The following is a 24,258-nucleotide window of genomic DNA, read 5'->3' as shown; positions in this document are numbered from 1 at the left end:
ACAGACAGCAGTGTCGTTCAGACAGTTGTGATCTAGTCAACAGCATTGTGCCTCACATAAGGAAGGGCAGTGCTAAAGAAGGGGGTGAAGGGAAAAGGTCTGTGGGGTGTCCTGGAGGGCAGAGGCCAAACTTTGTTCTCCCACAGATTATGCCCAGGTGCTTGTTCATAGTGGCCACTCAGTCTTTGTCATCTAATGGACTAAATCTAGGAAAGAGAACTGAAGCAAAGCATTGGGCAGGTAGGAGTGTGTGCAGGTGCAGGCACCGGGGCAAGTTTTGGAGGACCACAGGCTTCCCCGTCATCTCGGTGACATATTCCCCTAGACATTCTCAGCTGGGATGATTCTGCCCCCAGCCCAGAGACAATGGCAGTGTCCAGAGACGTCTTTGGTTGTCACAACTGGGTGGTGCTATTGGCACCTAGCGAGTAGAGGCCAGAGATGCTTCTAAACACCCTACAGTGCATGAGAGCAATCTGTCTAGCCCCAAACATCAGTAGTGCCAGGGCTGAGAAGCCTTCTACACAGTTCACCTCTGTTCCGATTTTATAGTCGCCGAATGACCTGCACCTCCTGGCTGCTTGTATTTGTTGCTGGTGGTGCCACAACAGCTGCTACTATTCTACCATCAGAACTATTAATCTTCCCAATAACAATGAGAGCTCCCATTCATTTGAGCCCTTACTGTGTCTGGGTACCATGATCATCATGCTATGTGCTTTCTATAGAGTATCTTATTTGATACAACAACAGCGACGAGCCTATGAAGTAGATAACATTCTGATCCCAATTTAGTTTGTAGATCCCAAATCTTAGAAATATACAGGAGTTTATTTCAGGCCATGCGATTGGATCAGGAATCCACACACTGGCTCCAGTCTGTACTCTGCATCTGCCTGTCCCAATTAAATGATTCAGTGCTTACTCCTGGACCCAGCAGTTTACATATGTGTTCTCCTTTTAGCTTTCCAACAAGTCCTGTCATAGGAGTACTGGATCACCATTTTACACATGAGGAAACTGAGGCTCAGGAAGGTTGAGGCTTCTCCAAGGTCATTAGCGGAACTGGGACAAGTCTTCTATACCAGCTCTACCTTTCCACCCCAGCATGGCTGTCTCTAACCTGTCATGACTGTCTCTAACAGTAGCTGCAAGGAGTGGGGCAACTTGGGTGGCAGATTTGGGGTCTGTCTCCCCAGAAAAGTGGTGCTTTTGATGTGAACTAAGACATTGGCCCCCTGATTGATACACTAGTGCTTCTGAGTCTGTCTGGCTCTGCCATAGGGTCCTGACAGCACCAGGTTCCTGGCCTCCAAGTCTGCAAACCAGACCCCAAGCCCAAGCAACAGCTCCCAGGTGACCCCCAGGCCTTCTGTGACATTGGTTGCCACGTGACATCAAACCATGACAAGATGCAACACTTAACCAAGCAAAATGTCACACAATTGCAGAAGAAAACACAAAAGCCACCTTATAAATATTACTGTGTATAAGTTTGACATTTTTGCAGATAGCAACTGAAAGGAAAACTTTCACTTACAGTTGAAAGTTCCCATGAAAAAATGTCCCAGTGATATCTTTAGGCATTATTATCTAGAATAGGCGTCAATAGCTATTACATCTTTAACGTTTGTACTGACAATTCAGACTCAGAAGTGTTCCATCAAATGAAGATGAACATTTTGATATTGCTAAGAACGCAGACGTCCTTGAAGCGTGTTCCTTTCATCAGTTCTGCTAGCTTAACTTCCACAGCTGGCCCTGTTTGAACTCCATTCTCAAGCAGCCAAACTCTTCCCCTCACTGTCCCCACATTAGCAAAAGAAGCAGAAAGTTAATTGGTTTCTAAGCTGCTTGTCTCCCTGCATTCATCACCAAGGCACAGGACCAGCTCCTGCTGTAGCCAGGGCTCATTTCTGCCCAGGCAAAGACTCAGCAGTCTTCCGTCTCAGTTTATTTGACAACTGCTAGTAATTAGAAAATTACCTCTAAATTCATCTTTCAAAAACGACTGAAGTCCAGTCTAATTGCCGAAGGGTAGCTTAGTCTATAACTCCCGGACAGATTGCTGGAAAGAGGCCAGGGGAAAGTCTTGGGAAGAAAGCAGGCCTAGGGTGGCAAAGCCAGCTATAGATAAAAAGTACGTTGGTACACATTAACCACGGAGCCCAGAGCCCTCCGCCTCGTGCCTGTGCATGAGGTCCTGGAATGCCCAGTGCCATGGAGTCCACGCGAGCCAAACGCTCGCATGGGGATGATGACTGAGGAGACTGAGGTTAGGGAGTTATGTGTGCTGTGTCTGTGGTTGTCAAGGTCAGAAACACCAGCAGTGCCCCGGCTCCAGGTCACAGTAGGAACTCAAGACTCAGACGTGTGTGTGGCATTTGGACTTTCTACATCCTTGCAGTAGATGAGTTCCAGACACTGCTCAAAGCTCTGTAGGAAAATGGAGAGCAAGACAGACAGGGCCCTGCTTTCCTGGGGTCTGCATGCTAAGGGGGAACAAACAACTGACAGGCAAACACATCAACAAGAAAGCAGATAGGAAAGATCTAGAACATGGGATTGTGATAGAAATCGTGTCTGGGGAAGAGGAGTATTTTAGAAAGCAGTTACTTTGTGCAGTTTGGATGAGAAGGAGCAGACCACGTTTACATCTCAGGGAAGATCTCCTCCTCAAGTGGGCCAGAGCTGAGTGTTCATAAGGAAGGCTGAGGCTGGGGAGGCTGCAGCTCAGGGAAGGCTGAGGCTGGGGAGGCTGCAGTTCAGGGAGCAGTGTCGCAGGAAGGGAAGGAGGCACCAGGCCGAAGGAGCCACTGGCGAGCTGGTGCACGTGACCGACATGGTGAGCACGGGTAAAACGATGCTATCTGAGAAGGAGCCAGCACCTCATCCTCCTTCTAGATCAAATTTTCAAGGTCACCAAACCAAAGACTAATTCCCTTATGCTTCAGCCCAGGCTATTTAAAACAATAAAGACTAAACAGGTCCCAAGTGGGCATCTCCGTTAAGAATAACCTGATAAGAAAAATGTTTCAGTCATAACAATGTTTGTGTCAGTCAGGCCTCGAGATGGGGATCAGCTCGGTCATGTTTGTGACCTTTATAGCTGTAAGAAAATAGTTACAGCCTCCTGACGCAGACGGCGGCCGGCCTGCCCTGTGCTGAGTCACTGCTGCTCACTGAGTAAAGCACATGCTAGCAACACCCTCAGCACAAGGACACCTCGATCGATGTCTGTCCTGCCCCGACATGAAGACACCATAGACGTTCCAGCTGCAAAGATCACAACGATAATGATGCAGTCAAAGCACCATCCTAGGTACTCTGGAGACAAGACAAGAAAGAACAAGAAAAGAATGTTCTAAAATATAAATGGTTTCAGTCAGTCACAATGGCTCACTACTGTAATTCCAGCACTTTGGGAGGCCGAGGCAGGTGGATCCCTTGAGGTCAGGAGTGCGAGACCAGCCTGGCCAACATGGTGAAACCCTGTCTCTACTAAAAATACAAAAATTAGCCAGGCGTGGTGGTGTGCACCTGTAATCCCAGCTACTCGGGGGCTGAGCCAGGAGAATCGCTTGAACCAGGGAGGTGGAGGCTGCAGTGAGCTGAGCTTGTGCCACTGCACTCCAGCCTGGGTGACAGTTTAAGACTCTGTCTCAAAAAATAAATAAATAAAAAATATATAAATGGTTTATGGCTTCTTGTCATTCCCTGGCTTAAACCCTCCAATGGCTTCCTGGGGAACATAAATAGAGTCAAACTCCTTACCAGGGTCTGTCTACACAGCTCTATGGGAGCTGGCCTCTGTCTCTTCCCCAATCTCATCAAGGCTCTGAACACAGGGAGGAGAGAGGAGAAGGGGCTCAGAAGTGGCCAGTGGGACCCAGGGAGATACAGGGGAAGGGAGATTTGAAGGGATCATGCAGGATGCTTGGATTAGATTCAGATAAAGAGAGGGGCAAGTGAAAAAACAGCATGGGGAGGAAACGTGTGTCAGTGTGTGTGTGTGTGTGTGTGTGTGTGTGTGTGTCTCAGTGTGTGTGTTTCTCCATCTGTGAATGTGTGTGTGTTAGGGCGGATGTCTATAATAAGGTGTGTTTGAAAGAGGTGAGATAAAATTTCCTATGGGAATTAGGTTCTGAACACAGTCAAAATTACATATGGTCTAAATTCTACATGAAAATTCCTCAAAAAGCTGCAATAACCTCTCAGTTTCAACACAACAGGTCCAGCACAGCCAGCTGCTCCTCTGTATTGGAAACAGACCCTATTTCTCTGGCTGGCACCATGGAAGTAATTGTCATGTCGCTGGGAGCTCTGGCAAGACCCCTAAGGTGCCCTCACACCCTGATTTTGTACGTACCTGTGGTGACAGCTCCGTGTGTGTTCAGGCTCCCCAGGCTCCAATGTGGAGCCCAGGGTATCCTTCTCTGCCTAAGGGCCTTCCTCAGAGTGGGTGTCCCCTTTAATCCATGTGCAAACATAGAAAGTGGGGGGATACCCCAAGAGCATCCCTTGACTGCAAGCACGAGAGGGGGTGGGCGAACACTCCTTGCCCACAGTCCTTCTGGCAGGCAATCTGGGAAGCATTCTGGAAGCTTTTCTGGCATTCAAGCATCCATGGACTACAGCAGAGGCCTCAATAATTTGCCCTTATGCTGGATTTCCTTCTTCCCCGTGTCATTTCCCTGCTCCCTCACTTCCTTCTGGAATCCTCTCCAAATAAACTACCTGCACCCAAGCCCTGGACTCTCGGTGCTGCTTCCAGGGGAGCTCAAACTGATACGGGGCTAAGACTTGAGGACAGTGCTGAACCCCTCAGATTGACTCACCCTAAGAAGAACATGTATCTGAAACTGACCGAGGGTGAGTTGCTGGTTCATGTCTTCAACTCCACACTCACTTGGGAGAGTGGGCATAGTTGGTGGGGTGGTGGCAGCTGAATTCTCCAGCTTGGGGCCAATTGAGAAGGGTCAGAAATGCCTGGCAAAGAAAACTGAGCTCTGCTGTAGGCACACTGGTTTGGGGAGAGGGAGCCAAAAGAAAAGAGGATTGGGTATGGGATTGAAATAGAGCATGGGATGTGAAGTCAGTTTTGGGTGCCAGTCCTGGTTACATCATCCAGCTCCCTGCCTTGAGACCTTAGACAAACTATCCATGCCTTAGACAAACTATCCATTCCTCCCTAGGAGGAAAATCAAGGCGGTGTATTCCAACATGACTTTGGTAAGCCTTAGAGCATTATGCAAATATTCATTATTATCATTTCCAGAGCTCTCCTTTCAGAAAAGCAATGACTTAATGGGTTAGTAAAGTGCTTACAAGTACTTTCAGGATGATTTCTTCCTTCTGTGTCTTCTTGTTCTGTGACTTAAAAAAATGAAAGCGAGAGAGAGAGAGAGATAGGAAGAAGGAAAAAGAAAGAGAGAGAAAGAAAGAAAAAGAGAGAGAAAGAAAGGAAGGAAGGAAGGAAGGAAGGAAGGAAGGAAGGAAGGAAGGAAGGAAGGAAGAGAACCTGTGAAGAAATATCCAGGATAAAGGTCACCAGCTGGCAGTGACCAAAACTAGTTCATGCATATATTTTGTCTGGTTGACGGGAGAATTTGAAATTTCTTTTAATTAATTGTCACTGTTTGAAAATCAGGAGAACTTACCTGGGACAGAGGACACCTGTCCCTCTCCAGCTGCCAAAGTCATTAACTTGCCTGGTTCCTGCAGGCAAATCACTCTGTAACCTTTGTCCTAGGTTTTAAAATATATCATTTATTCATAATGTAGGAACCTGTGATGTCTCATTTACACAATCAGTGCCACTGCACTGAGTAGGATTTGGGGCTGCTGAAAAAGATGAACCCCTCCCATGCTTCACCACCTCCCTGATGCCTTCTTCTCCCTATCCATGGATACCCCTCATGCTCAAGGACCCAGCCTCAGGATGGCTCCTGTGCACCATCCTGCCCCTCACCAGAGACCGTCTACCAATGCAGAAAGGGGTTGGGCACCACTGTTTTTGTGAAATGAGAGGACTTTGGAGTGTGAGCTATTCAGGATTAAAATCAATGAATGTTCTTTTCAGTATCATCAACATAGTTCCAGCATTACAGTACAGCAACCTAGATGGCCCTTCATATCCAGATAAGATAGGCATGAACCTTCCATACGAGCCTTGTGGAATATTCCAATGTCCTTTCCAAGACTTCTGCCAGTTCCCAAAGGGGTTAAATTCTTACAGTCATCTGGGTGGGGTGAGGGAAGAGGGTGGATGTGACTATAAATGGGTAGCTTAAGGGATCCGTGTGGTGATTGGCTGTTTTGCATCCTGATTGTGGTGGTTTCACATGTGATAGACACCACACACACACACACAAATGTGTGCAGGGAAAATTGGTGAAAGTCTAAACAAACTCTGGATTGTGCCAATGTCAGTTTCCTGGCTTTGATATTGTATAATAACACATAAGAAGTGCCCATTAGGAGAAATTGAGGGAAGGATACATGGAACTTCCCTGCATACTCTTTTTTCTTTTTTTTTTTTTGCAATATCCTGTGACTCTATAACTATTTTCAAAACAAAAAGTTTTTTTGGAAAAACACAAGCAAAATCCCAGTGGTAGATATTGTGCCCAAGCTCCCCACTATGGGTTGATTCTGGGTGCTGATCACCCTCCCCTTCCCACGATGCTGTCCTGCCCTGCACGTGCTCCTATGGACAGGGAACTGTAAGAATTAAAGAAAGAGGAAAGAAACATGAAAGGTAGCCTGATGGTCAAGACAGGATTATTTTAGAGAAAACAAACCTGAGAGGGACATCTGGCCACATTAGGTCAGAGGCACACTTTCTTACAGACTAAGAGTTTTTAAGGATTTAGGGTGGGAGAGTTTATCAGAGGCTTGGACTCCTTCTGTGTCTCTTTGTTGTGCTTATCTGGGAGGGAGAGTTGTGTGTCTGTTCCCATACATCTTTCTGCAGCTGCAGGCATACTCCCTGAGTCTGCTTTTACATTCCCTATCTTAGTGCACCTGAAGGGAAAGGAGTGTGCTTATTAAGGCCCACTGTTTTACTGGGGCCCATGGTATGAGGGTGAAGTTTGGCAATTACCCAAGAGAGTTTCCCCCACCTCCCCTCTGGGCGGGGGCTGTCTTCTCTGTGTTTTACTGTCTGCTCTTTCCGGCTGCTTGTAGTTAGAAAAGAAGTGATTTCCTTGAAATGCATGAGGCTAGAAAAGGAGCTGGATTTTAAAATGGCGGTGTTTGTCCGAGATGTCAGTGCTCCTGCTCTGTCAGGAACCAGCCTCTTTGCTACACCGCACCACAAGCAAACACACAAGAAACCATTCCCCAAGGCTTTTGAGAGTGCCCCACAGCAGGCTGACGGCTTGAAGGAGGCACGCACAACCAGTCCTTTAGTAAGATACATCTTTAAACAATATTTCGGCCATTTCGCAGGACGGTTTGGTTATCCACTTTCCCCACTTTCTCTCTGTTCTTTTCATGTCCCACCCCTTTGAAATCATACACACAAAAAAACAAAAAGTAAAAGTGAGGAGTTCTCCCTTTCTAACATGGAGTCTTTTGGCTTTCTCCCTTCGTGTCTTGATCGGGGTCTTTCCTTCCACCCTCAGATAAACTGTCAAGGTGATTTCCTGAATCAGGACAGTTCTGCTGTCAAGAGAAGAATAGGGCAAGCTGCACCAAACAACGTCCTCTCCCCTGGTCCCTGGCTCTGAGAGTGTGTTTCTGGCTGGAGCCGCACCCTTTGGGAGTCCAGCTTTATCAGCCTTCTCCAGCCTCCCTCTGACCCATGGTGGGCTGCTTGTTCACTGACAACCTGCTCTGTCCTTCTTTCCTTCCTTTGCTTTGCAGATACTTGGTCAGCCTCTCCCCAGGGCAGCCCTGAAGACCCAGAATTGAGGAGGAGCCCCTCAGCGTATGGAAGACAAAGCAGTCTCTTCCCATGAGTTCTCTTATCGACCTAAATGTAGCCCTTGTTCCAAATGAAAATTGTCCCTTCCCTGTCCGGGGCAATTATTCTGAATTTTAATTCTGGAGAAAATATGTTTTGGAACCTGTATCAAGAAGAAGCCAGAGGTAATTAGAGCAGGAAAGGTAAACTGTGAATATATTTTCAGCTTCAGTTTGGGGATTCTGTTTTATATTGTTTTATTGTAGTAAACAGCCTTTATAAGTTCTATAAACAGAGATGTTAAAGAAGTGCTAAGGTGCATATTATGTTAAACTTAAATATAGACAACTAATCTTAGAGATAAACCAAACCCACTGCAAATTTATTTTGAACACTCAGCTCTTAGAACCAGGTAAGCTTATTGCACAATTATACGTTCAGGTTCATTCATTCAACAGACATCTGTTGATTGACTGCTATGTGGCGTGCACTGATCTGGTATTGGGGAGAGAACCAAAGCAGAAAGAACCCTCACCTTGTCCTAGGCACATTGTACATTTTAATTACATGTATCCATAGCAGACCACCAGCACCCAATTTTTGGAGGAGATACCAGCAACTCTTTTTTTTTTTTTTTTTTTTTTTTTTGAGACAAGGTCTTACTCTTTCACCGAGGTTGGAATGCAGTGGTGTCATCGTGGTTCGGTGCAGCCTCTGCCTCCTGGGCTCAAGCCATCCTCCCACATCAGCCTCCCGAGTAACTTGAACACTGTCATGCATCACTACACCCAGCTAATTTTTCCTTTTTTTTTTTTTGGTAGAGATGGAGTTTTGCTATGTTACCCAGGATGGTCAACTCATGGGCTCAAGTGATCCGCCCACCTCAGCCTCCCAAAGTGCTGGGATTACAGAAGTGAGCCACTGTGCCTGGCCCCAGCAACTTTTAATCCTGGGAAAAATAAAGGAGACAAGGAAAACTGGGGTTGCAATTTTTTCTTTTTTTTTTTAAGACAGGGTCTCATTCTCTTGCCCAGACCAGAGTTCAGTGGCACAATCACAGCTCACTGCAGCCTCGACCTCCTGGGCTCAAGCAATCCTCCTGTGGTTGTAATTTTTAATAGGGAGGACTGGGAAGGCCTCAGAGACAGAGCAGTTGAACAAAGACTTGCAGAAAGTGGAAGAACAAGTATTGCTACTGGGGGGAAGAGCATCCCCACAGAAGGAACATCAAATGCCAAGTCCCTGGGGTATCAGCCAGCTTGGGGTGTCTGAGCAACAGCAAGAGGCCACAAGGTGGGAGCAGGTGGAAGATAGGGTGGCCCACTGTGATGTCTGAGAGGAGAAGGGCACCGTGGAAGGGTCCTGCTTGGGTGTGGTGGCATTGGGCCTGGTGGCGTTTGGAGTGGTGGCATTTGGAGTGGTGGCATCTGGAGTAGTGGCATGATAGACGGATCAGGGTGGGGGCCAGGAGGTAAGGAGAGGTGGCCAGATTCTGAAGACACTTTTGAGGTAGATGCATTTGCTGATGGAATAGATTCATCTGTGAGAGAAAGAGGAACCTCTAAGGTGTTCAGCCAGAGCATCTAGAAGGATCCCCATTAGCTGTGATGGGAAGACTAGGTAAAACAGCATTCAGGTGGAAGGAGCAAGTGTTCTGCCTTGGACAAGCTACGTTTGCCCATTAGACATTTTGACAGGGATGATGGGGGGCAGATGGGTCCCAGGGTCTGGAGGCAGGGAAGCGGTCCCCATTGGAGACGGGAAGCCATCATGCATACACAGTTCACTGAAAACGTCGAAACTGGATAAGATCCCCAAGGGAGAGTGTGGGGAGAGGAAAGATCCAAGGGCTGTGCCTGGGTTCCCCCATCTCTTCTTGAAAGGCCAGGAGGAGAAACCAGAAGCAGCACCGAGATGAGGGGGTAGCCATGAGGAGGGAGAAGCAGAGGTGTGGGGCATCCTGGATGCAGGAAACTCCTGTATGAGTTTCCCCAGCTGCTGTAATAAATGACCACAGACTGAGTGGCTTAAAGTTCTGGAGGTCAGAAGTCTAAAATGGGTCAGCAGAGCTGTGTCCCTTTTGGAGGCTCTAGGGGAAAATCTCTTTCTTTGCCTTTTCCAGCTTCTAGAGGCCACCACCATTCCTCGGCTTGTGGTCCCTTCCTCCATCTCAAAGCCAGCTGCCTCTGATCTTCTAATCTCTGTCTCTCTGCTTCCTTTTCACATCTCCTTCTGACTCGGATTCTCCTGCCTCCCTTTTATCAACCCTTGGGATGACATTAGGCCCACCTGAAGAATCCAGGATAATCTTCCCACCTCAAGATTCTTACCTTTCTCTTTGCACTATTAATGTGTACTTTTCAAAGCAATTATGCAAAGGAGAAAAAGTCGTCCTTCACATCAGCCCCTTCACCATCTGCCACCCAAATGACCATTTATGGATTAAAATGCACTTTCCAGATTCTTCTCCCCCAAGATGCTTGCTTTCAGACCCCATTTAATGTGGGCAGAAAGGGGACCTCCAGCTGAGTAGGCTAAGCATGAGACATGAGTTACTTCTCAAATGTTCCAGAAAGTCCTATGGGGGGCAGTATCATAATCCCCTTTTCATGGAGAAAGAAAGTTTAAGAAGCTTGCTCAAGGCCAGGCAGGGTGGCTCACACCTGCAATCCAAGGAGGGAAGGTAGGAAGGTAATAAAGCTTTTATTTGCTTATTTACCAAATGCTTCTTCATGGATAAGTAGGAGAAGGAAGAGGTTTTAATGATAAATTTCTGGGGAGTTCCAGAACACCTGGTGCACTTGTACAGTCGAATTCCCATTCTTTACTCCACCTCTTCCTCTTCACAAACATTACAAACAGTCTTAAAAATTCTCTCTGGGGCTTCATGTGTCCCAAAACTCCTCACCTCTGTGGCCAATTCCATGAGCAAAGCTGAACTGCTTGTTCAATAAGGGTACACCCTCTCTGTGTTCATATCAAAGTTCAAAGTATAGTGCTCTGTATATAAACAACATTTGCCCAACAGGTTAACTGACATGCTCTTAAATGGACACTCCTTTGCCATTCATTGGTTGAAATCAGGTGAAAGGGAACTAAACTGTTTATGTACTTTTTTGGTACAAATTATCTTTATAACACTAAGAGGAGCCAGGCACCACGTAAGCGTGGATGAAATAACAGTTTACATTCCAGCTGCTGGTCAGGCTTCAGAGTGATAATAAATAAATACAGAAGAATCAACTGTGCAGAAGAAAAACTTGGTGTCTACCCTCTAGTTCTGCCATTTGACAAGGTAGCAACCCACTCCCAGCTGTTTTTCCTGAGAATTGAGCTGATTATACTAATGCATGCAGTTGAGGCAGTACTAATAAATCTTAACCCTAAGACCTATTTCCTGGCCTGGTATGTGTTAAATTCTCTTTGCCTTAATGCAGGTCCATAGTATATCTAGGGGAACTGACACATAAAGTGCCAAAGCTGGAAATTCTGGTTACCAGATTACATTTCAGAAAAGACTTCTGGGCTGGGTGTGGTGGCTCATGCCTGTAATCCCAGCACTTTGGGAGGCCAAGGTGGGTGGATCACTTGAGGTCAGGAGTTCGAGACCAGCCTGGCCAACATGATGAGACCCCACATCTCTACTAAAAATACAAAAATTAGCCGGGCATGGTGGCGTGCACCTGTAATCCCAGCTACTTAGGAGGCTGAGGCAGGAGAATCACTTGAAACCAGGAGGCGGAGGTTGCAGTGAGCCAAGATCATGCCACTGCACTCCAGCCTAGGTGACAGAGTGAGACTCCATCTCAGAATAAAAAAAAAAAAGAAAAGAAAAGAAAAAGAAAAAGAAAAGCTTTCTGAGCACCCCGTTTCTCCACAATATAGATATCACAGTTCATTATAAATACCTATGGCATGAATAGACAACTGTTGAATGAAGTAAAAAGTTCTTGAAAGGTTTCTTAAAATGAAGAGGTCAGAGACATCATTAAACTGTCCAGGTAAATACCACTGCAGAACAACAAGAGAAAACGCAATCATGACATTTATTTGTGTAAGGCTGTGGGATATAAAACTCAGATTCACCCTTCATGTATGCCAGAGGGGCTGTAAAAAAGAGTGGTCGAAGGCCAATGGACTCCAACACTCAGTTATTCCACAAATTGTTGTCAAGGGTCCTGTCCCAGGCACTTTGGATACAACAGTTAACAAAACTCACAAAGATCCTTACCCATGTTGAGCTTTCTTACCATATATATTACATAGCACATATATGGGAAACATATGTAGAAATACGTATTTAATATATAAGTATATATAATATATATTTAAAAACATAAACATATATATAATTTCCCATGTAGAAATTAACAAGAAGCATAATAAATAACACATTACAAAGTATTTAAGACAAAGATCCCTGAATCACTGTTTCCACCACTTCAGCAAGTTTTTATTTTTTAATTTTTTGGTTTTTTTGTTTTTGTAGAAACTGAGTCTCACTATGTTGCCCAGGCTGGTCTCAAACTCCTGTCCTCGAGTGATCCTCTGGCCTCAGCCTCCCAAAGCACTGGGATTGCAGGTGTGAACCACCGTGCCTGGCCTTGAGCAAGTTTCTTAACCTTTCCATTTCTTTCTCTGTGAAAAGGGTATTATGATACTGCCCCCTCATAGGGCTTTCTAGAAGATTTGAGAGATAATTCATGTTACTTGCTTGGCATACTCAGCTGGAGGCCCCCTTCCTACCCAGACTTTAGGGCAATTCCAGCCTTCACTCACCATTTCACTACCGAGCTCTTTTATCCCTTGGGTACTTCAAATACTTATGTGCTTACCAAGTGCCTCATAAAGATTTTACAGTCAACTTAGGGGAGCCAGAGAACCACTAAGTAATAAACCTCATGACACTTACTTTGAAAGCAGTGAACATAGTATTTTTTAAAGACAATGACAGCACTCAATGGCCTGTCTCGTCCATTGCTGCCTCATAGAATTTTTTTCAAAATATTTTTACATTTCTGATTTGTCCATCTCTATCTGAATCTATGCCAGTTCCAAATAATGCTCTAGAGCTCATCTGTCCCCATGCCCACCCAGTCAAGCACATGTGCTGGGGATAATTCTTAGCCCAAAGGGCTAAGTGGAATATGTTTTCCAACATTTGCTTTCAGCAACCATGCAGTAGCACAGCCTCCCACACTCGGTCCCATTTGCATGGTGTGAGCCTGCATTGGTGTGAGCCTGCACTGGTGTGTGCCTGCACTGGTGTAAGCCTGCATTGGTGTGAGCCTGCATTGGTGTGTGCCTGCATTGGTTTGAGCCTGTCCTGGTGTGTGCCTGCACTGATATGAGCCTGCAATGGTGTGAGCTTGCACTGGTGTGAGCCTCTCCTGGTGTGTACCTGCACTGGTGTGCTAGAGCTGCCGTAACAAAACACCACAGACTGAGTGGCTAAGAAAACAGACATTTATTTCTCATAGTTCTGGAGGCTGGAAGTACAAGAGCAAGGTGTTGGCAAGTTTGGTTCTCCCGAGGCCCCCTTCTTGGCTCACACAAAACCATCTTCTTGCTGCTCTCACGCAGCCTTTCCTCTGTGTGTGTCCTTCTCTGGTGTCTTCTCTTCTTATAAGGACCTCAGCCAGGTAGGCTTGGGACCCCATCCTCTCGCCATCATTTTAATAATCACTTCTTTGGAGGCCCTAACACAGTCAGGTGGCTTAGTTCTCCCCCACCCCTACTGCCCCCCGTGGCCTTTGTTCAAACTGAATTACCTCTTTAAAGGTCCTACCTCTAAATATCGTGACATTTTGTACCCCCAGGTACTGGGGGTTGGGACTTCAACATATGAATTTGGGGGGACACAGTAATATGCGTATAGCCCCTACCTGTGCCACATACTTCGCAAGGCCTTCCTTTCCTTTGAGCACATTGCCTGATAAGCTCATAGTGTGGACCCACCACGAAGCAATACCACCTGCAAAACATGTGCACTACAGCCAGTTGGCAGCTGGGAGAGCAAAGCTCACCTGTCCACCACATGGAAATCCCCAAACATCGGGTACAAAAGGCATAATAAATATCATTGTTACCCGGAGGATGCAAGTGACCAAGCTCCACAGCAGGCACTGGGGGAACCCATGGCTGGCCCGTCACCACACCTGGGCATCTGTAAGAGACCGAATGGCATTTGCTACGAGGAGGGCCTGGGTCTCAGCAGGTTTTGGATGCAAGCAACAAGACACACTCTGCCCCTTACATCCACTTCTAGCACAGCCCCTGGGGATAAGGAGGAGATGGGTCTGGATGGAGCAGAGACAGAACTCTGTAGATGAAAAGGCTGGACAGGTGCACAGCATTAGTTAAAGAGAGAACTGAAGCCCATCTGAGGAATTGAGACTTGACAAGGAGGATGAGGGCCCGGGAGTCCACTGTTCTTTTCATCTGAGACTAAATGCAAGCATCTTGCCTTGCAGTCTATCTTGATCCCCTAAAAAACAGGGATGGAAGGTTTACCTGGTAGAAACTGCTCCACACACTCAGGGTACAAATAGGATCCTACCTCCTACTTTTCTGAACAGTTTCCTGGGCTGCACAGGCCTACGAGCAGGAAATCCAGCAGGTCTGGCTTGGAGTGCCTCCCCACAAATATTATCCAAGAACGCGGGGAAGGAGCAAAGTTTAGCAACTGCAGGCCTGCCTCCCCTGCCTGCTTGGCCCTCTCTCCTCCTCCTCATCCCTCCCTTTCCATCTATTTCTCTTTTTAAGCCCCTTTGTCCCCTTCAAATTTAACTCAGTTTCCCCTTTCTCTATCCCTCCTCCCACTGGCTTTATATCTCCTTTTAAAACATGCCTTTTAAATTGGTATTTGAAATTTTCTAAACATGATTCTATAATACAAACTCTGAAAAACTTCCTAGCAGCATGTCACAGCCATCACGCAAAATTACTCAAGGAGGCACTAAATAGGTGCTGATTACTCAAGCAGAAAAACTCATTTAAATGATTTAAAGTAAGTCATTATAGCATACTACTTTCCCAGTGACCTTCAAATATTTATTTTCTTTGTATAGTACATATACTGTGACGGAAACCCCAGACACCACGCAGAAACTAGGGAGCGAAGAAAGTCACTGGCAAGTGTACCAGTACCCACTGGTACATGGGTGTCTTTCAAAGCTGAATTTAGTTCTATCTTTTATATTATTGAAAATGAAAACAATATTTGATTATATACTATTCGCGAATGACAAAGAGGGAGCTGTGGAGAGCGGGCAAACATAGAAAGCACTTTGATGGATACAGAAAGTTCTCTGGCTATGGATGGGAGGGAAATCCATCCCCAGGACTGGAAGATATGTTTAAACAAAAGAAGGCCAAGAGAAAGCCATTTCTTCATCCAGGTCAATTTTCGTCACTCCAGGAGTTTTGGGGTCCAATCTCCAATCTCCTGTTTGCCACACTTTCTCCTTTGAGCTGTTGGTTTTGGATTTGCTTTTCGCAGCATACAAATATTTATTCACAATCAGCAAACAAAATGCCATTAAGATTTTGAAACAAAAGTGAAAACAAATAGAACAGTTTCTGGAACGTTGTAAGCTATGCCTTAAAAGAATCAGTGAGGTACAAATTATTTCATTCACTCATTGGCTCCAAATTTGCATTTTTAAAATCTGGTTGCAGGTATCAACCCAACTTCTTCTGGAGACCATCAATATGATTAATTTCCATTAAAAGCAATTGATTGAAGTGAAAACACACGTAACGAACTGAACCACTTTAGAGTGAACAGTTAAGTGGGCTTCAGTCCGTTCACAGTGTGGCCGCCCCTCCACGTCCCCCGCCCTCCCACCTGCCTTAAATGAGCTCCTGGGAAGTACCCATGAACTCCGATGCACCCCTGCTCCATCGGCTGCCTCCTCACCCTTTCCAGCCCCCACATTCCTGCCCTTTCTCTGCTCAACTCCTCCGTCTTCTCCCTCGGACGCTCATCCTCCTCCACACCCGCCTACGTTCTCCCTTCTTTGCCCTCGTCGTCCCCTCTCTTCCTCGTTCCTCGAGCTCCCTCTGCTCCCTCGAGGGTACTCAGGACCCGGCAACTCTGCACACCTCAGTGCCCCGGAGCCCTCGGAGTTCCTCCTCTTTCCCACCACGAAGCCTCTTTTTTTCCATTTATTTCCATCCCCATTTCCCTACCCCCATGTCTGGGGTCCCTGTCAATCTCCATCACCCCTGCCGCCCTATCTCCCCCTCCTTCCACGTCTCCTTTCCTGCACATTCCCAGCCCCCACCTAGCTCCTGCTCAGGTCTCTGTGGCTCACAGAGGGCCCTCCTCACCCTCCACTCTGCCCTGTCCAGCCCACCCCAACCCATCTCCTGGAACCCTTGTAAGGTCTCTCCCCGCCCAGTCCCTGCTGCGTCCATTTCCCACCCAAGTCTCTAAGCACCCCATTCCCCATCCTCTCCCATTGCCCCTCCTTATCCTCCCCCCGACCCCAGGTCTCCCAGCGCCCCCTGCAAGGCCCTTCTTCCCTCCTTACCCATTCCCCACCCCTGCCCCGCCTAGGTCTCCCAGCGCCCCCTGCAGGCCCTCCTCCCCTTCTTATCCAAGCCCCCCAGGTTCCCCAGCGCCCCCTGCAGGCCCTCCTCCCTCCTTATCCATTCCCCACCAGGTCTCAGTGCCCCCTGCAGGCCCTTCTCCCCTCCTTATCCATTCCCTCCACCCCCGCCCAAGTCTCCCAGCGCCCTCTCCAGGCCCTCCTCCCTCCTTATCCTTTCCCCTCCAGGTCTCCCAGCGCCCCTTGCAGGCCCCCCTCCACTCCTTATCCATTCCCCGCCAGCGTCTCCCAGTGCCCCTTGCGGCCATCCTCCCCTCCTTATCCATTTCCCCCCCAGGTCTCCCAGCGCCCCCTGAGGGCCCTCTTCCCCTCCTTATCCATTCCCCCCAAGGTCTCCCAGCGCCCCCTACAGGGCTCTCCTCCCCTCCTCATTCCACCCCTCCCCCCAGTATCTCAGTGCCTCCTGCGGGCCCTCCTCCCACCCTTATCCATTCCCCTCCCCTAGGTCTCCCAGCGCCCCCTGCAGGACCCCCTCCCCTCCTTATCCATTCCCCCACAAGGTATCCCAGCGCCCCCTGCAGGGCTCTCCTCCCCTCCTCATTCCACCCCTCCCCCCAGTCTCTCAGTGCCTCCTGCGGGCCCTCCTCCTCTCCTTATCCATTCCCCTCCCCCAGGTCTCCCAGCACCCCTTGCAGGCCCTCCTCCCCTCCTTATCCATTCCCCTCCCCCAAGTCTCCCAGCACCCCTTGCAGGCCCTCCTCCCCTCCTTATCCATTCCCCCACCCCTCGCCCCCCGCAGGGCTCCCAGGGCCCCCTGCAGACCCTCCTCCCCTTGTCCTCTCCTATTCATCCCCCAGGTCTCCCAAGAACCCCTGCAGACCCTCCTCCCCTCCTTATCCATTACCCTCACCTCAGGTCTCCCCGCCCCCCTGCAGGGCTCTCCCCTCCTCATTCCACCCCTCCCCCTGGTATCTCAGTGCCTCCTGTTGGCCCTCCTACCCTCCTTATCCATTCCCCTCCCCTAGGTGTCACAGGCCCCCTGCAGGCCCCCCTCCCCTCCTTATCCATTACCCACCACCCCCCTCAGGTCTCCCAGCCCCCCTGCAGGGCTATCCTCCCCGCCTCATTCCACCCCTCCCCCCCTCATTCCACCCCTCCCCCCAGTATCTCAGTGCCTCCTGTGGGCCCTCCTCCCCTCCTTATCCATTCCCCCTCAGATCTCCCAGGCCCCCTGCAGGCCCTCGTGCCCTCCTTACTTCCCCCCCGGGTCTCCCAGCGCCCCCTGCGGGGCCCTCCTCCCTTCCTCATCCACTTCAACCCCAAGGTATTTCCGTGCCCCTGCAGGACCCTCCTCCCCTCCTTAGGCGCTCCCCCACTACCCAGTCTTCCAGTGCCCTGCAGGCTCTCCTCCTCTCCTTATCCACCCCCACCCCAGGTCTCCCAGTGCCCTGTATGGGACCCTCCTCCCCTCCTCATCCACCCCCCCAGGTCCACCAGTGCCCCCTCTGGGGTCCTCCTCATCCGTGCTCCCCCTCCCCCTCCCTACTCCCCTTCCCCCCTGCCCCCACAGTACATCACCCCCTCCCCCAACCCTGCCTGGCTCCGCCCCCTTCACGCCCCCTCTTTTCCGCTCCGCGCCTGCGCACTGCCACCCTCCACTCTCGCGCCAGCCCGGCGGCGGCCGGCTGTGGGCTGCAGCACGCGGTGCACGAGGCAGAGCCCACAAGCCAAAGACGGAGTGGGCCGAGCATTCCGGCCACGCCTTCCGCGGTGAGGGGCCAGTCCCGGTCAAGCCCACCTGCTCTCCTCCAAGAGCATGGGCTGTTCTGGGCGTGGGCGGAGGGAGGGGCTGGCCGGAAAGGCCCAAGGGCGGGCGGCAGACGCTGAGGGGCTGCCTGGGAGGGTCGGGTCGGGGCGGGGCGTGGGGGGCAGGGTAAAGCAGGGGCCCTGCCAGGCCTCCGAGGGAGTGTGCTTGGTCTGGCCGAGGGCTGCTTGGCCAAGTCTGGGTGGGCTCGAGGCCACTAGGCCCAAAGCCTGCCTGGCTCTGAGGGTGCTAGGTCTAGAACCGTGCACGAGGGGAATGCCTGCTCGGGCCCGAACCTCGCTGGGCGCCGGGTGTGCACTGGCCCGGGGCCTGCTTGGACCTGAAACTTGCTAGGCCCAGGATATGCACTGGCCGAGAGCCTGCTGGGCCCAAACCTTACTAGGCCCAGGATGTTCACTGACTGAACCGGCTCAGGCCTAACCTTGCTAGGCCCAGGATATGCACTGGGCCAGAGTGTGCTCAGGCGGAACCTTGCCAGGCGCAGGATGTGTGCTGGCCCTAAGCCTGCTGAGGCCCAAACCTGTTCGTTCTAGGGTTTTGTACAAAATCCTGCTTTAGCCTAAATCCTGCTTAGCCTTGACCCCCTCCTAGACCCAAGCCAGATCAGCATTGTTCTGACCCTACTAAGTCCAAAACCTTTTGAGGCCAGACCTTGTTTCAACTCCAAAGCCTGCTAGGTTCCAGCACCCCCCGCATCCCTCCTCATACCACCCCCTTCTCCCCCCTATGGAAACCGCTTGCTTATTTTTCAAACAGGCCAAGTCATTATGGCAGCCACTGAGATCTCTGTCCTTTCTGAGCAATTCACCAAGATCAAAGAACTCGAGTTGATGCCGGAAAAAGGCCTGAAGGAGGAGGAAAAAGACGGAGTGTGCAGAGAGAAAGACCATCGGAGCCCTAGTGAGTTGGAGGCCGAGCGTACCTCTGGGGCCTTCCAGGACAGCGTCCTGGAGGAAGAAGTGGAGCTGGTGCTGGCCCCCTCGGAGGAGAGCGAGAAGTACATCCTGACCCTGCAGACGGTGCACTTCACTTCTGAAGCTGTGGAGTTGCAGGATATGAGCTTGCTGAGCATACAGCAGCAAGAAGGGGTGCAGGTGGTGGTGCAACAGCCTGGCCCTGGGTTGCTGTGGCTTGAGGAAGGGCCCCGGCAGAGCCTGCAGCAGTGTGTGGCCATTAGTATCCAGCAAGAGCTGTACTCCCCGCAAGAGATGGAGGTGTTGCAGTTCCACGCTCTAGAGGAGAATGTGATGGTGGCCAGTGAAGACAGTAAGTTAGCGGTGAGCCTGGCTGAAACTACTGGACTGATCAAGGTACAGCTGGTTTTAATAAACAACCCCTTACATGAAAAAGAAAAAATTCAAGTCGGCTTTTATGCAATATTATGTCTGGACAAGGTATTTTGCAGTTGCAAATTAAAGACAGTACAAATACTTCCCAGGAAAATCTTGAGAGTTCTTAGGTTCTTTTTTAAAAAAGAGTTTTAAAAGTGGTGCTAATTGGAATAGTGTAAGGCGCATTATGTTTTAAAAAAAAGTGTTAAGTTTCACTGCCACAACCCTGATGCGAAATAATTAACATTGTGATGCATAATCTTCCACTTTGGCTTTTCTTTTTGTATTCTGTGCTTCATCCAGGCAAAAGTCTAATTATACTGAAATCAATAGTATCATATTTGAATATTTGTTGTTTATTAGCTCGAGGAAGAGCAGGAGAAGAACCAGTTATTGGCTGAAAGAACAAAGGAGCAGCTCTTTTTTGTGGAAACAATGTCAGGAGATGAAAGAAGTGACGAAATTGTTCTCACAGTTTCAAATTCAAATGTGGAAGAACAAGAGGATCAACCTACAGCTGGTCAAGCAGATGCTGAAAAGGCCAAATCTACAAAAAATCAAAGAAAGACAAAGGGTAGGCCAGTTCATCTCATAGAATACACTCCCTAAAACTGGGCTGCTGTTTTTCTTTATGGGCAGGTGATGGTAATTGAAGTTTTAAGTGGTTGACTTTTACTTTCAAAATGTCAGGAAATGGGAGAAATTTTAAACTAATGTTCTGTATTGTGAATCAAATCCAGAAGGGTTTTGCACTTTACACACAAACGTTTTGAAAGCACAGTAAAAATGTTCCCACAAAGCCTTGTGCACGTAAGCATAGAAGACCAAGCCCTGGTCTCTGCTGCCTAGTTTGCAGCCCCAGAGGGATATGGGGGACAAGTCATTACAGGACAGGTGGTGAGGCCTCGTGTGCTTCAGGGCCAAGAGAAGGAGTGATTCCTCCTTCAGGAAGCCGTAGAGGGTGCCTTCTAAGGGAGGTGATATTTAGGTGAGTCCAGGACAAAGAAGCCACTAAGATGGGGATCAGGATTCCAAGTACTAGGAAGTGGTCTGGGCGTGTAGCTCTGGAAGTATTTACTTTGTATCTGAGGGTGGAGAGCTCTACTGTGTCTGTAGAGCTGGGTGGGTGCTCAGAGAGGTGGATGGGTCCAGATTAGGAAGACCCTGAAGCAATATTAAAGCCATATTAAACTGAGATTTCATTCCAGCAGCCCACAGGATGAATTTGTCCTATGAAAATAATTTGTTTGGCTTATTTTTTAAAAATATTAGTTTCTCACTTATTTAAATCAACATATTTCACCCCCAAAATTTCAATTTCTAGCTCTTTTAAATTATATCTGGCAACACTTGGCACAGTTTTCCTTCCTCCTGGCATCAGGTGCCTGGGATTGGAAGGTGACTCAGTTTAGAAAAGGAGAATGCCAACCAAACACTGCCACCACCACCCCATTCTTACATGTGGTCAGGGCCCTTCACTTAGGTTTCTTGCCTCTGCCTTCCATAGGTGGTTGAGTTTGCAGCCTTTTGGTACATAGTAGTTTCTCATATGTTTAAATCAAGAGCTTTGCACCCCAAGTTTTACAATTTCTAGCTCATTTTTAGGTTTTTGATATATTCAAATTTGTAGACCCATCAACACTGTCTAAATTCCAGAATATTTTTATCACCCCAATAAGAGGCCTGTACCGATTAGGCAGTCACTTCCTACTCTGTTCCTCCTAGCCCCTGGCTACCACTAATTTACTTTTTGTTTCCGTAGATTTTCCTGTTCTGGACATTTTCCAGAAGTTGAATCATATATGTATACCATGTGCCTTTCGTGTCTAGATTCTTGAGCTTAGCATCATGTTTGCAGGGTTTGTTGGTATTGTAGTATGTGTCAGCGCTTCATTCGTTTTTAATGGCTAAGTAATAATCCCTGTATGGGTATAGCACATTTTATTTATCCCTTCATTCACTGATGCACACTGCAATTGTGTCCACCTTTCAGCAAGTGTGAATGGTGTTCTTATGACCATCTGTGTACAAGTTTTTTGTTTGAGCACCTGTTTCCAGTCCTTTTGCGTATATACTTAGGAGTGGAATTGCTGGATGGTGTGGTTACTCTATGTTTAATTTTTTGAGGAGCTACCACACTATTTTCCATAGCAGCTGCACCAATTTGAATTTGCACCAGCAGTGTGTGTTGCTTCCAGTTTCTCCACATCCTCACCAACGCTTGTTTTCCATTTGTTGTTATTGTTTAATTATAGCCATCCTAGCAGGTGTGAAGAGGTATCTCGTTGTAGTTTTGGTTTCCATTTCTCTAATGACGAAAGGTGTTGACTATCTCCTCATGTTTTCATTGGTCACTTACGTATCTTCTTTGGAAAAAATGGCTATTCAAATCTTTGGCCCATTTTTAACTGGCACTGTGTTAGCTTCCCAGGGACGCCATGACAAAGTGCCACAAACTGAGTGGCTTCAAACAACAGAAACATACCTCTCACAGTTGTGGAAGCTACGAGTGTGAAATTGAGGTGTTGGCAAAGCCATGCTCTCTTGCAAGGCTGTCGGGGAGAATATATTTCATGCCTTTCTCTTAGCTTCTGATATTGCCAGCAGTCGTGCCATTCATTGGCTTGCAGATGCATTACTCCTCCAATCTCTGCCTCTGTTATCACATGGAATTATTCCTGTATGTCTCTACATCTCTTTTCCTCTTCTTATAAGGACACCAGTCATACTGGCTTATGACCCACCTTCATCCAGCATGACCTCAGCTTAGCTTGATTGCATCTGCAAAGACCCTTTCTGCACATAAGATCACATTCACAGGTATCTGGCATGAGGACTTCATGTATTTTTGCAGGGGTCACAACTCAACCCATAAACCTTCTATTCCAAGTTTGTTGAGTATTTTATCAAGAAAACGGTGTTGGATTTATGAAATGCTTTTTCTGCATCTATTGAGATGATCTTGTGTTGTTGTTTTTTTCATCATTCTGTTAATATAGCTTGGATTGTTATTTTCAAGGCCACCCCTGAGCTAGGGAGCAGAGAATGGAACCGGAATAAGTTAGAATTCCACCAAGCTCTCTTTTTTACTGAGAATCAGCTAGATTTTTTAAATTGTTTCCCCTGGTTGCTGGAAGCTTCCAGTTAGTTTCCAGTGTCCTGAAAAAGTTGCTTGTGACATTTTTTTGCCAGTTGTTTTCATTGCTTTTATGGAGGGATGGATTTTGAGAATAACAACTCAGCTATATTCTGTATTTGATGATTCCAACATCTGAAGTCTTTGTAGGTCTGAGTCTTCTGTTTGTTTCCGCTGCCCTTGCACTGGCATCTTATTTATCACTGTGAGCTGATTGGTTCTTTTTACTGTTATCTGTGGGAATCCCTTGAAGCCTGGGGTGAAAGTGGGTTCTTCAAGGGATGGTATATATTAATTTCTGCCAGGCAGTGATGGTCAAAAACTGTCTTAAACCAGATCCCCCAAGGGTTACTGTTAGAACCACCCAGGACATGCTCACTGGGGCCACCTTCCCTCTTTGGAGCCATCTTCTTAGGGCAAATGTTTTCACCTCTCCATCAGTGCTAGACCAGCATCATCCAAGAGAACTTCTTTTGCTGATGGAAATGGTCTTTATCTGCCCTGTTCAGTACGGTGGCCACTATCTCCATGTGGCCTTTGGGCAGTTGAAATGTGGCTTACAACAGAGGAACTAAATGTTCAATTATATTTAATTTTAATTAGTTTAAGTCCAAATTTAAGAGTCACACATGACTTATGGCTGTGGTTTTGGATGGCACCATTCTAGATGGTTTTTCTTGCAGTCCCCTGGCTAGAGAGAAGGATGCAGAGATGGGGCGGGTTATCTTTAGTTCACCCTACAGAGAATGCAGGGCCACATTTCTTGGGCGCCCCACTTCAGGTAGGCGGTGTGCCTTTTCTCATCTCTCCTTAGGTCTACAAGACATTCTGAAATGTTCAGGCATCTCCTCCCTAGCATTGTTTTTCTCAGCAAGAAGGATGAGCAGAGTACCTAGTCCACTCTGTGCCCAGAAACAGACATCGGCCCATCTTGAAACAGCGAAAATGCATTGTTCATTATCCAGGAACATGGTGTCCTGAATTGCTTCGATCAGCTTGTGGATATAAATAGCATGTGCTATTGTTCAGTTCCCACGTTAGTTGAAAGGACGATGTGCTGATTTACTTTCAAGTATTTAAATGGAATTTGAACCTCTAACAAATACATAAACTATTTCCTGCCTATAGGAGCAAAAGGAACCTTCCACTGTGATGTCTGCATGTTCACCTCTTCTAGAATGTCAAGTTTTAATCGTCATATGAAAACTCACACCAGTGAGAAGCCTCACCTGTGTCACCTCTGCCTGAAAACCTTCCGTACGGTCACTCTGCTGCGGAACCATGTTAACACCCACACAGGTAAAACTGCCGGGAAGGCTGTTTCTCTGGAATGATGTGTGTTAAGGCTTATGTTAAGAATGTGAATCCACCTGTTTCTACAGTAGAATCGTGTAACATTTTATACTTTAGTTTTGTCTTCTTTTTCTTGAATTTCCATTAAAAATACTGTTACAAAGATTTTTCTCACATGCATCTGTGGTATTTATAGTTTAAGGAGCCTC

At 47.8% G+C, this 24,258-nt stretch overlaps 1 protein-coding gene and 1 long non-coding RNA gene across 24 annotated transcripts in view, besides 1 other annotated feature; one reads left to right on the top strand and one right to left on the bottom strand.

Annotated features, from left to right (window-relative positions):
• Nucleotides 1–13,361: 13,361 nt before the first annotated feature.
• LOC124904940 (uncharacterized) lies at nucleotides 13,362–14,619 on the bottom strand. The gene is made up of 2 exons (XR_007067673.1): nucleotides 13,795–14,619; nucleotides 13,362–13,608 (listed from the first exon to the last, which is right to left on the bottom strand). It is a non-coding gene; the product is annotated as an uncharacterized LOC124904940 (long non-coding RNA).
• Nucleotides 14,620–17,609: 2,990 nt separating this feature from the next.
• Nucleotides 17,610–24,258, top strand: part of CTCFL (CCCTC-binding factor like) — a 29,688-nt gene continuing 23,039 nt past the window's right edge. For 7 of the 23 annotated variants that reach the window (NR_170377.1, NR_072975.3, NM_001386995.1 and 4 more), the window contains exons 1-3: nucleotides 18,565–19,599; nucleotides 19,984–20,194; nucleotides 23,885–24,055. Coding sequence is in view for 21 of the 23 variants with exons in the window: in NM_001386995.1 (NP_001373924.1) it covers nucleotides 19,057–19,599; nucleotides 19,984–20,194; nucleotides 23,885–24,055 (925 nt within the window). In the remaining 2 variants the exon portion in view is untranslated. Of the gene's footprint in view, nucleotides 18,235–18,564; nucleotides 19,600–19,983; nucleotides 20,195–23,884; nucleotides 24,056–24,258 lie in introns of those variants that run through there. The other 16 variants (NM_001269042.2, NM_001269040.2, NM_001269045.2 and 13 more) reach the window with 6 other exon arrangements.
• Nucleotides 18,993–19,931: an enhancer, noted in NCBI's record as "H3K4me1 hESC enhancer chr20:56098387-56099325 (GRCh37/hg19 assembly coordinates)". NCBI's record gives its function as "activates a minimal SCP1, AML or CMV promoter by ChIP-STARR-seq in primed H9 embryonic stem cells {active_cell/tissue: H9 hESC(primed)}" and the evidence as "EXISTENCE:reporter gene assay evidence [ECO:0000049][PMID:30033119]".

Source organism: Homo sapiens, chromosome 20 (genome assembly GCF_000001405.40).
Source record: "Homo sapiens chromosome 20, GRCh38.p14 Primary Assembly".
Lineage (NCBI taxonomy): Eukaryota > Metazoa > Chordata > Mammalia > Primates > Hominidae > Homo > Homo sapiens.
Note: the sequence above shows the minus strand (reverse complement) of the source record. Positions and strands in the feature narration are given on the sequence as shown.